The sequence below is a fragment of the Homo sapiens genome, chromosome 3, assembly GCF_000001405.40.
Source record: "Homo sapiens chromosome 3, GRCh38.p14 Primary Assembly".
In the NCBI taxonomy this organism is placed as follows: Eukaryota; Metazoa; Chordata; class Mammalia; order Primates; family Hominidae; genus Homo; species Homo sapiens.
The window spans coordinates 178,119,376-178,132,188 of NC_000003.12; positions in this window are offsets into that span (position 1 = coordinate 178,119,376).

Below are 12,813 nucleotides of genomic sequence, written 5' to 3' on the forward strand. Positions count from 1 at the left end.
TCTTCAAAATGGACATGACTATGGTATGCACCAAGGCTTCCTGTTGCACGCAGGGATGTCTATAATCACTGGCATCCTTTGGTAACAGTAGCTTCTCCAAAAAAGTGTGTGAGTGGCACAGGCTACCCAGTAGGTGCCCTTGCCAGTGGTTTGACTTCTGAAGTAATCTTCAGATTATAAAAAATTATTCTCTAGTTTTAGGCCGGGCACAGTGGCTCACACCTGTAATCCCAGCACTTTGCGAGGTCAAGGCAGGTGGATCATGAGGTCAAAAGATCAAGACCATCCTGGCCAACATGGTGAAACTCCGTCTCTACTAAAAAATACACAAATTAGCTGGGTTTGGTGGCGTGTGCCTTTAGTCCCAGCTACTCAAGAGGCTGAGGCAGGAGAATTGCTTGAACCCTGGAGGCAGAGGTTGCGGTGAGCCGAGATTGCACCACTGCATTCCAGCCTGGTGACAGAGCGAGACACCATCTCAAAAAAAAAAAAAAAAAAAAAAGAAAGTAGTTTTGTACAGCTGCTAGTTCTTCAAAAATATTTTAAGTACTGTGTATTTGCATTTTGTTCCAAATAGGATTCAAGTCAGAGTTATAGTTTTTGATGAAAATTTATGAAATCATTTTGACTCCTTGAGGCTATTTATCTTTGAGATCAGCAAAAGAACACTTTTGAAACTGAACCAGTTTATGAAATAGTTCTTCATCTTAAGATGAAGGTAGAGTCATCCAGTAAGTGTAAAGACACATTTTTCTTCCACAGGCTAGAGAGCAACTGATTCAACACAGCATTTCATGAGTGTGAAAAGAAAGATGAATCATCCTACTTTAAATGCAACTTTTGGCCATTACATCTCAGTTGGTTTGACAACAAGCTTAGAAATCATTTTTTTTTCCCCTAAATCTGTTGGATTCCCTTCTTTGACCAGAAGACAATCAAGTGAGGTGATCAAAGGGGTCATGTGTCAGAGGAAGGGGCAGCTTCTTCCTACATAAGGTAGAAGTATGAGGGAAGAGACTGATAGCACACCCAGGAAGTTCTTTTCCGGAACTGAATGAAATCAAAGGAAGGAAAGCAAGACTCAACTGGTATTAGGTAAAGGACTAGAACCTAGACAGGATCCAGCATTGACAGCTGAGTGGACTGGGAGGGAAGGGGAGTGATATGTTTCTATCTGTGTCCCTACCCAAATCTCATGTTCAATTGTAATCCCCAGTGTTGGAGGTGTGGCCTGGTGGGAGGTGACTGAATCATGAGGGTGGTTTCTCATGGTTTAATACCCTCCCCGCCTTGGTGCTGTCATCATGATAGTGAGTTTTTGTGAGATCTGTTTATATAAAAGTGTATAGCACCTCTCCCCTCTCTATATTGCTCCTGCTCCAACCATGTGAACTGTCTGCTTTCACTTTGCCTTCCACCATGATTGTAAGTTTCCTGAGGCTTCCCCAGAAGCAAAGCAGATGCCAGCATCATGCTTCCTGTATAGCCTGTGGAACCGTGAGCCAATTAAACTTCTTTTCTTTATAAATTACCCAGTCTCAGGTATTTCTCTGTAGCAATTCAAGAACTGCCTAACACAGGGCGTTAGGTAAGAAGGAGACTAGAGGATGAGAGGCAGCGTAACAGATAAGTGGGTGGTTGTCTGTAGACAAACCAAGATTGCTTATATTGTTTATTTACTCAGCTAGAACAGTCTTGCTTTGGTTAGTCAGCATATTTTTTAAAAGGTCTGGAACAGTATTGTGTTAGTCAGAGTTCTCTAAAGGTACAGAATAGGAAAGATGAATATACAAAGGGCAGTTTATTAAGGAGTATTGACTCACATGATCACAAAGTGAAGTCCCACACTAGGCCATCTGCAAGCTGAGGAGCAAGGAAGCCAGTCGGAGTCCCAAAACCTCAAAAGTACGGAAGCCAACAGTGCAGCCTTCAGTATTTGGACCCGAGAGCCTGTGGCAAATCACTGGTGTAAGTCCAAGAGTCCGAAAGCTGAAGAACTTGGAGTCTGATGTTCGAGGGCAGGAAGCACCCAGTATGGAAAGAAAGATGAAGCCAAAAGACTCAGGGAGTCTGCTCATTCCACGTTCTCTGCCTGCTTTATCCTAGCCATGCTTGCAGCTGATTAGATGGTGCCCACCCAGATTGAGGGTGGGTCTGCCTCTCCCAGTCCACTGACTCAGATGTTAATCTTTTTAGGCAACACCCTCACAAACCCACCCAGGAACAATACTTTGCATCCTTCAATCCAATCAAGTCGACACTCAATATTAACCATCACAAGTATATACAAAAGCTTACCTTCACATGGGTCTTCTGACATTGTTTGCTAGTGTTTGAGAGGTGGAGAGACATAACGAGTAGCAGAAGAGTGAAACCAGAATGGAAACAATTGGGACGTAGGCTGCTGGCTTTCCCCTCTGCCCCGTTACTAATGAGGGTAGACATTGAGAAACCCCATTTTTGTCCTTTCTGCACAGATTATAACTATCAATTAATGTATCAGGTGGGAAAGTCATTGACAGTTTCATAAAATTATAATATGCAAATTCCTTGTCAGTCCTTTATATCAGTTAGCAATGTATTCAGCGGCACAATTGAAACTCTCAAACAATATTTCATTTATCTCTATAAACAAAAATTCCAGTGTGGACAATCCAGGGTTAATGACAGTTTAGTGATGACATCTGGGATCCAAGCTCTTCCTGTCTTTCCTCTGTCATCCTCACAGTGTAGACCTTTGCCTCATGCTGGTCAACTCATGGTGGCAAAATGGCTGCTGTACCACCAGGCTCATGTCTGCATTCCGAGAAGAAAAAATGAGAAAGACCTACAGGTTGAATCTGTGACTATCCTAAATAAAATTGAAACACTGTTAATTAGCAAGAAGAGAATAAAATTTGATGGGGCAACTAGTTGTATTTGCCTTACCCTTCCCTTGATCAATTAAACCCATATATTTTTTAAAATCAAAAAGTCAAGGTAAACTGTGAAAGAGTGTATTGCTTATAACTAGTCCTGGACAATAGGGATTGACATTGCCTGGTTGAACAGATCTGGTTTCTCCAAAATATTTCAAAGCTAAGTAAGGTATCCTACCTTATTGATGGTTCACACAATGCCTGTAAGCCCCTGTAACTTGGCCCTCTGCACATCAGTTATGAAGATGGAAGAGGACAGAAGATAGACAGAAGCAGCACAGGTATTCTGGAAACAAACAATTTGCTGTACTGTGTGAAGAAGTGATGGAACAGAAAGCTGTGTTGGTGGGAAAAGCTGAATTATGAAGGACTCCATGTGTGGTACTACGCAGTTTGGATTTTTTCATATAGCAATAGAGAACTTGTGAAGGGTTTTAAACAGTAGATCACATGAAGAGCCAGAGACATCCTAATAGGCAAAATGGTGACAAAGAACATCCATTTTTATTTATTTATTTTGCATCAATGTACTAGTTCTGAACATTTGATCCGAGTTTCTAAGTGAAAACCTAAAAGCTCGTTATTCTTAAAGTTATCACATTAGACTCCTTTGAAACTCACAATTTATAAATGAGACATTCTTGTATCATATCAAAGTAGTTGTTCTTTATATCCTTACCTAAATATAAAGTATCATTTTCCTTCTATGCTTAAATAATGAATCACAGGTAGACACTCATTAATATCCAACATAAAGTACTTGAGTTAGGTTCTAAATTAAAGGACAAATTTGGGAGAAAAATCATGTATCAGAAACATCTTTGCTCCACCAGCAGCTTGAATTTATACAAACACTAGAACTGAGTGGAATCTGGGGCCCACTTTTTATATTAAGGAATTTGTTACTTTCTGTTCCAGACAACCAGGACAAACTACAAACTCTACTAGCAACAAAATTACCTCCTATGTTTGAAATAGTGCAAACAGCAGGTGTTGACAAGACAAAGACATATTGCTTTTTCCCCAAAGGAAGCAAAGGCCCAGATCTTTCACCAAGCCAACATCCATAAAAAGGATCAAATGAGGGCTTTAACCAGCTAAGAATCTCAATTTAGGTTTCTTCTCCAAAGAGAGAAGCTGAACACATTGCTGTCACCTGAATTTTAACTTAAGAAAAGAGTACACAAAACTTTATTTCATTTATTCTGTTTAACTCTGGTACTCAAGAAGATGTATAATTGTCTCAGAGTCTGTGACAGTTACCTGGAAAATACTATGCTGAAAATAAAAAATCAGTTCAATTCAAGAGATCTAGATTTTCAATCTGCTATTTTACATTACAAGCAATGTTAATGAAGGAACTTACAAATCCTCTGGGACTCTGGGTTTTATCTGTAAAAAAATGGAGTCAATTATTTTTGTCTTCTTTCAAGAATGTATTCATTTCTTTCAAGCAAGAATCAACTTAATTCTTAAAGCTGTTCAGCCAAAATGCAAGCAGAAAAAAGCAATTTTTAACAGAATTGATTTAAAAATTAGTATATATTCCCCTGGATTTCTGAGTTATCTGGTCAACTGAAATATACAACTTAACACTGTTATAAACTCATTCATATCCCAAGCAACATGACATGCTTCATGAGAGCTAGAGGATGGTGCTGAGGAGCAAAGAGGCCTCATGTTCAAAAATAGCTTTCATTACTTTTGCTATAATTTTTCTATTTTGGAATCAATTAATTGCCAATTAATTATTGATCTAGATTTACTGATAACCAGATGAAGGGAATAAACATATCTTGGAAAGGTGAGATACCAGATAACAGAAAGATATTAATGAGGTTGGTGGGTGACTAGGAAGTGGACCTCCGATTCTCCCCTTTATACTATAAGACTTGTGTGTTTGGCCGTGCATGGTGGCTCACGCCTGTAATCCCAGCACTTAGGGAGGCTGAGGCAGGCTGATCATGAGATCAAGAGATGGAGACCATCCTGGCCAACATGGTGAAACCCCGTCTCTACTAAAAATACAAAAATTAGCCAGGCTTGGTGGCGTGCACCTGTAATCCCAGCTACTCGGGAGGCTGAGGCAGGAGAATTGCTTGAACATGGGAGGCAGAATTTGCAGTGAGCTGAGATCATGCCACTGCACTCCAGCCTGGCAACAGAGTGAGACTCTGCCTCAAAAAAGAAAAAAAAAAAAGACAGGTGTTTGCATTTATTTTTCTCAGATCCAAAGTAAAAATGACATTCCTTCAAATGCTGTTCTCTTGTTTTAAAACCATTCAGCACTATGCTATTCTCACCAAGGTCGTAATTTTTACTGACACACTGAAATTTCTGTGAAGTTTATCTAAACTATAGGAAACCAATAGCAAGAAAGGATTTTACCAGAATTGGTAAATGCATTAATGTTTGTTTGCTCTAGCAATATTTCTCCTAAAAGAGGGCTAGAAAGCACAATGATGGGTCCTTGAGGCTCTCATGGGGAAAGAGAAGAAAAGACATTTGGAATTGCATTTTTAAGTGTAGTAACTTTGCAATAAAGCAAGACAGCTCATTTTTTTGCTGATGCCTTTAAAACCCTGGAGAGTTGTTTTGAAAGCAATATGACAATATAAGCAGATTCCCAAAGTGTACCTTACCTTTCACTCTATTGAGACCTTGTAAAGAAAATCATTCAAAGAAGATCACAATTAGGCTTGAAGATATTTACTACAGGATTAACAGGAATGGTGACTGACAAAAATAAACTTTGGAAATAACCTAAATTTCAAAATATTTGAGAATGCTTAGTTCTTATTTATGGAATAGAGGTATAGTAATTCTCAATCTTATATTTTATTTTATTATCTTTTATTTAAAAATATAATATTATTTAAATGGGCTTCCAAATCAACAATAAAACATGCTAACCATTTTCCTACTGTGCAGGTGCTGCTTTTTGGCTATCATAATGCTAAGAAAATATGACCAGGAGAGAGAGAGAGAGCAAGAGAGAATTGATGATGGGATGCTTCATCTTATCAAAAGCCAGCAAAATGTTGTATATGGGTGGTAAAGGCTAAACGATGAGATATGCACAAAGATTCCAGTCTTTAGTTTAATATACATATATATATATACATATATATACATATATATATGTATATATATATCTCTTTTCTAATTTTAGAGCACCTAGGAAGGGAGGAATAGAGTTGGGAATGACCAGATGAGTGAGATGAGTGTAGGGCAGACACCATGTATTTGTCTGGGTTTAACCATCTGCCTGTCACAGTTCCTGTGGTCTGCTTCCAAGTAGAGACTTTGTAAGTAAAGTGGTCCTTACTGAGGGGAGCCCATGAAAATCCCCACCACCAGTCCATTGGCAAAATTCATGTTTCAATGAACTTTTTCCTTTTTAAAGATGAGTGAAATGATAAAAATAAGATTTGTTAGAAAATAATACAAATGGAATGAGAAGAAAAATTATTCTGAAGAATTAGAAAAACAGTTACTTAAAGCTGGTCAACAAAAAAACAGGAAGAAAAACCTGGGTGTCCGCAATAGGATAAGTAAAGACATGGTAAATAGAATGGGGTGATGCAGTTATAAAAAGAGATCAGGTTAAGAAAAAGTCAGTACGAAGAGGTGCAAAGCAAATAAACTGAGATTTAAATTAACAAAAAGAAGGGGAAAAGGCTAAACTAAGAAAGATCAGCTCCAAAATTTCAGCAGGGGAATCACATTCTGCATAAAAAAATCAATAATGTCAAACTCTAACTTGCACGTTCTCTTAAAATAATAAAGAAAAAGTGGATAAAATTATAACAGAGAAAATTAAAGGAATAAAAAGATTTGGAGTTTAAACATTGTAGGTGTTCCTAAGCCACAGATGAAATAATGCAAAAGCCAATAACGACAAAAGTAAGTTAAAAAAACTTTCTGCAACTGAAATGAATAATTATTAGAAATATAAAGGAAGGAAGAAAGAAAGAAGGAAAGAAAGGAAAGAGGGAAAAAAGGGAGGGAAGGAAGGAGGAAGGGAGGGAGGTAAGGGAGGAGTGGAGAAGGAGAGGTAGGGAAAGAGAGAGTGAGGGAGGAAGGAAGAGAGCAAGCAATTTTTATGACAAGAGTACCACATCTAGACATTTCCTGTCAAATTTTTGCATAATACAATTGAAGATAAAATTCTACAATATTTAGAACAAACAGAAAAAGTTACTACCAACAGCAATAAAAAAATGCTTACCTACAGTAGATGATTTTCTTTATATGTCTAACTACTATTGTTGAGAGAATGTCCTGTAAAATCAGAATTTGATTGACAAAGGTTGCAAGTCAAGTATTTTACTTTAAGCATATATGATTTTTGCGGTCAAGGCAACAGAAAAAATCAGCGCAACCTACATGACTTTATTGAAAAACTTAGAGGAGATTAATAAATATATTTTAAATTGCTTATCTGCACTGAAGCCAAAGAATAATTTTATTCTGAAGTCTAAAAATAAGTAACGTTTAAATATTTATTTTGTAAAACAGAGGTAACCACAAATTTTTAATAATAGAATATTACATAATTTAAACATTCTTTTACTGGCAATTTTGATGACACTGCTTTTCTAGAATAACTAATGCTAGAATAACCCTATTTCAGAGAAGTTTTATAACAATAACTTTCTTATAATTAACTTTTAAAATTGAATATAAATTTAAAGTTGTTTTGTGGAATATTTAATAATATAAAAAAGTTTATGATATGATATTAGGGACAAAACCAGAAAACAAGAGATCATATATAGTAAGAAGTATAGTTACAAACACACTACACATACACACACTGTCACACAAACACACAAGTGTCCATTTGCTGATTATGAAATTGGGGATTATTTTCTTGTTTTTTCTTTTTAATAATTTTAAATTTTCTTCAATGGCAATGCATTTCTATTATAATCAGAAAAGTTAATTATCAAATTGATAAAGCATTTGAATTATCAAATTGATAAAGCATTTGAATTATCAAATTGATAAAGCATTTGAATTATCAAATTGATAAAGCTGTCACACTGGCCCTCTACTGGGCTGTAAACACTGAAGCAGTCTGCGGATGGCAAAGCTAAAAGGGCACCACTGTAACACTCCTTCTGGGGCTTCAGAGGTCACGAGCCCTCTAATTCTCCAGACGCTACTGCGGGGCCTGCACAGTTTTGCTCCTGCCAGTACCCAAAAGCGCTCACCTTGGCTCCTGCACCCGCTTACCTGCGCTGCCCTTCCCGTGAGGAGTGGAACACAGCAAGTTCCAGTGAGTGGAATTCGCCGAAGTGGCCAGCTAGGTCGAGCCCCTGTGACTCCAGTTTCCACCCGTGAAGGGGTCAGGGAAATATTCTGCTTCAATATTATATTGTGAATATTACTTCTTGTAATTGATGAATGTTGTAATAAGACCACTTTTGGAACAATAATAATCCTATGCCACATTTTTAAAATAAATGCAGACATTAAAAACCGTTGTCCAAGTAAATAAGTAGATAAGTAAGTAGATGGGATGGGAAAGAGTTTTATTATTCAGTGTTATTTAAGTATTTAAACTTATTCAGAATGATATGACAAAAAATACAAAGCGATCTATCATCAAAATTATACTTAATAATCTATAAGTTGATAAATTATGTTCTCCTTCAAGTTTGTTGAAGTAAAATATAGAAACTACCTGACTTGTAAAGACATTGGTTACCCAATCAGTAGTTATTAACTTTCTTAGTATCTGGGAAGTACACCAAATACATTTTATAAAAACTTATCAATTTATTATTAATTATAGTGGCACCCTTTCACTTAGAGTCACCTTATGAAGCCTAACATTTAAAAAAATGGTTAGAGAAAATTAAATTTTGGTAATCTTAATGCCTTGCTGACTTTTAAAAATGAAATGGCTATTTAAACACATGCACGACATATTTTCATAAAAACTCTGGAGCTCCATCAACTACTGATAAATGGATCAACAAATGTGGTATTATAATAATACCATACAATGGTAAAAGTAAAATAAATATGCACTCATTGAAATATTATCCAACAATAAAAAAGAATAAAGTACTAATACATGCTACACATGGATGAACCTAAAAATACATTATATGAAAGAATTCAGCTCCAAAAGAAAAATTGCACATGGCATGATTCCATTTATATGAAATGTCCAGAAGTGACAAATCCATAGAAACAGAAAGTAAGAGGAGCAGGAATGGGAAATGACTGCTAACAGGTACAGGGTTGGTTTTGGGGTGATTAAAAAATATTCTAAAATTAGATTGTATTGGTGGCTACACAACTCTGAATATACTAAAAACCACTGGACTAAGCACATTGAATGGGTAAATTTTATGGTTTGTGAATTATCTCTCAATCAAACTGTTAAAAAAAATTTTGAAGCTCCAGATTCAGTTCATATAATTCATGGAAAATATCTGCTATATAACTTTATTGGTAAAGCCAGTCCTGATTGTTTCTGCTATAAAAACTGCCCTCTTTTTAAAATTAAATTAAATGTGCATATTAATGTTTCCCTTTTATAACCATCTTACTTCCAAACACCGGAATAGCTGGGGATGAGTTTATCTCATTAATTCACATATCAATTTTTTAAAGCACTGGCTGGATACCCTGCAATTCATTATACTAATTGTTCTAATGTCAATAGCCAATGCTGTGTGCAAATGAGTACTCAGTATTTTGGCCACAAAAACTTGTGTTTTTGTTTGTTTTAAACAATGTTTCTAAATTGGAGACTAAAGCAGAAATTTGAGTAAGACCCCTTGTTATAGCAACTATGTTTGAATGAATACATACCTTTTTTTCTGTGACTCTACATGAACTTGAATAAAGCGATTCCACAGTTTTTAAAATAACAACCATAGTTGAATCATGTACAAGTCTTTGAATGCTATAATCTCATCAGTAATGCTTTTTTCATTGCTGTAGAGGCAGATATAAATTACTGGCATGGAATGACTGGAAACCTCCAAGGTTTCACCAGTCTGTAGGTCATAGCTCTTATTCATCACAACTTGCAAAGAGACATTTCCTATGTTGTGCCAATTTTCTCATTCCACAAATCACATGGGCATCTAACTAGAAAATGTGTTTAATCTCAAACATAGGCTTGACATGTCACATCTTTTTATCTGTTAAAAGTGCACCAGGTATAACAAACTTTTTATAAGTTATATGAAATGTCCTGACCTTTGCATTGAGACTTGTATGAAGTTTTCAAAGCCAACTTCAAAATAATTGTGTAAAACTATTAAGCTTATATACATATTTACTAGCACTTTACATTTTCTCATAAACAATGAAAACTTTAGAGTCTGGATGTTTTGTAAGCAAATGAATAGCAAGAGATACTGTTTCAAATTCTTATCTGGAAAGTATATCAAGAGATTCTCCCTTGGGTAAGATTCATTTCTTGAAAAAAATCAGAAAGTCAGTGAGATAAGAGGTTATTAAATAAAACTGATAAAATTTAATTATCTGTCTGAATTCATAACCAAAGTAGCACGGGACAAAATAACACATTTCTGATGTCATATTTTGCCTATAACAGAAATGTGTATAAAATGGGGGATGGCACTAAGGCCTATAGACACACCATCTTTAAGAGCTGTAACACTCACCGCGAAGGTCCGCGGCTTCATTCTTGAAGTCAGCGAGACCAAGAACCCACCGGAAGGAAACAACTCCGGACACAATATTTTGCTTACAAAAGGTTTTACAGACACCAGTATTTCAAACTGTCTCTTGATTTGTGTCTTGAATGTTTTTAAACTCCTGAAAACTGCATCATGTTGCGGAGACCAGCTCGGTCGGGGAGACCTTAACCAGTGGCGCTAGAGGAATTAAAGACACACACACAGAAATACAGAGGTGCAGAGTGGGAAATCAGGGGTCTCACAGCCTTCAGAGCTGAGAACCTTGAACAGAGATTTACCCATGTATTTATTGACAGCAAGCCAGTGATAAGCATTGTTTCTATAGATTATAGATTAAAAGTATTCCTTATGGGAAACAAAGGGATGGGCGGAAACAAAGGGATGGGTCTGGCTAGTTAGCTGCAGCAGGAGCATGTCCTTAAGGCACAGATCACTCATGCTATTGTTTGTGGCTAAAGAATGCCCTTAAGCAGTTTTCTGCCCTGGGCAGGGCCAGGTGTTCCTTGCCTTCATTCCTGTAAACCCACAACCTTCAGCATGGGCATCATGGCCATCACGAACATGTCACAGTGCTGCAGAGATTTTGTTTATGGCCAGTTTTGGGGCCAGTTTATGGCTAGATTTTGGGAGGCCTGTTCCCAACATCCCAATATGTTACAATATTGGATGTGTAATAGGTATGTCCTTCTGTACTAAGGAGAAGGGCTACTGTAAATGGGTAGCTGGTGATGGAGAAATGGAATGAAGCACCTCCCCCTTGGGTGTAGTTTAAGGATCTGAAAGTAGATTTTCTTACAAATATTTGTGCCTTTGGAAAGCCTTTGTGTATGTTTTTCTTAGTCCATTTATGCTGCTATCATAAAATACCTGAGATTTGGTAATTTATAAGGAACACAAATGTATGTATCACATTCTGAAGGCTGGAAAGTCCCAGATTGAGGCACCAGCAGGTTCAGTGTCTGGTGAAGGCCACATTCCCAGCTTACAAGATGGTGCCTTGTTGTTGCATTCTCTGCAGGGAATGAACACTGGATCCTCGTAGGATGGAAGGAGGAAGGGCAAAAGAACCTAAGCTAGTTCTCTCCAGCCCTTTTATATGGCATTAATCCATTCATGAGTCCTCATGTCTTAATTTCTTCCCAAAAAGCCTCACCTCTTACCAGCATCACAATGGGGATTAAGTTGCAACAGGTGATTTTTGAGAGACACATTCAGACCACAGCAATATCCATGCATATGTAGACCCTAGTTTAAAGACTACTGATCTGCCTGAATTCACGTCCTAAAGAAAATTCTTTTAAATAATATTCTATCTTTTAAATATCTAAAAGATACAGTCAGTGATTCTTCAGAGTAGCAGACATTGACAAGGGACAGATTGTCACTAACTTCTGGGGGTATGTCTGGGACAGTTTGTTTTACAATATAGGTCACATGGCATGCATGTGAGGAGTTTGGAAATGAGAGAACACCACAAATAGATACTCCTCCAAAGAGAAATTAAGATACAGTAAGACCTAAAATGTCCCATTTGGAGCAGAGCAGATGGCTATATATAGTATGTGCTGAATAGAGAAATAAACAAAACTTCAGAACAAAGGTATCCTTTGCTATCAGAGTTCTCACTATCCAAATATTTGCTATTAGGATTTGCAGTTACTTTTACCAAAAAAAATCATTATTTGAAGAAAAACTGACTATAACAAATATATATATACACATACAACGAGAAATACTTAAAACACGCTATTCCAATATGTATATTTATAGGTGTGTGGGGGGGTAAATCTGGACTCCTTATTCCAATATGATCAGAAGCAAAAGTTTCCTATTTGAGTAATTTCTTGTTTCATAGATTCAGCTATAGCTTTAAAGGATGGCTTTTAGCATTCAGTTTCTGATTTTCTATTTCTGAGGAGAAGACAAGTCCACAAGTTCCTTGAATTTGGACATGCATGACTCAGTCTTTCCTCACCTCACTGACATTCTCCCTTTATCCATTCCAGAATAATGACGGTGATTAGCTGGCCACTTTTTCCATTTGGTTTTTCTTTTATTTTTGACACCAAGTGGTTGACATCACCTTGTTTCTGCTGCCATCAAACTTCACTTGTAACCCTTCCAATGGTAACTATTTTTTATTGCCTAATCATTTTATTTTATTTGATACTTTATTTGGATTTGATATACATCTTTATTAT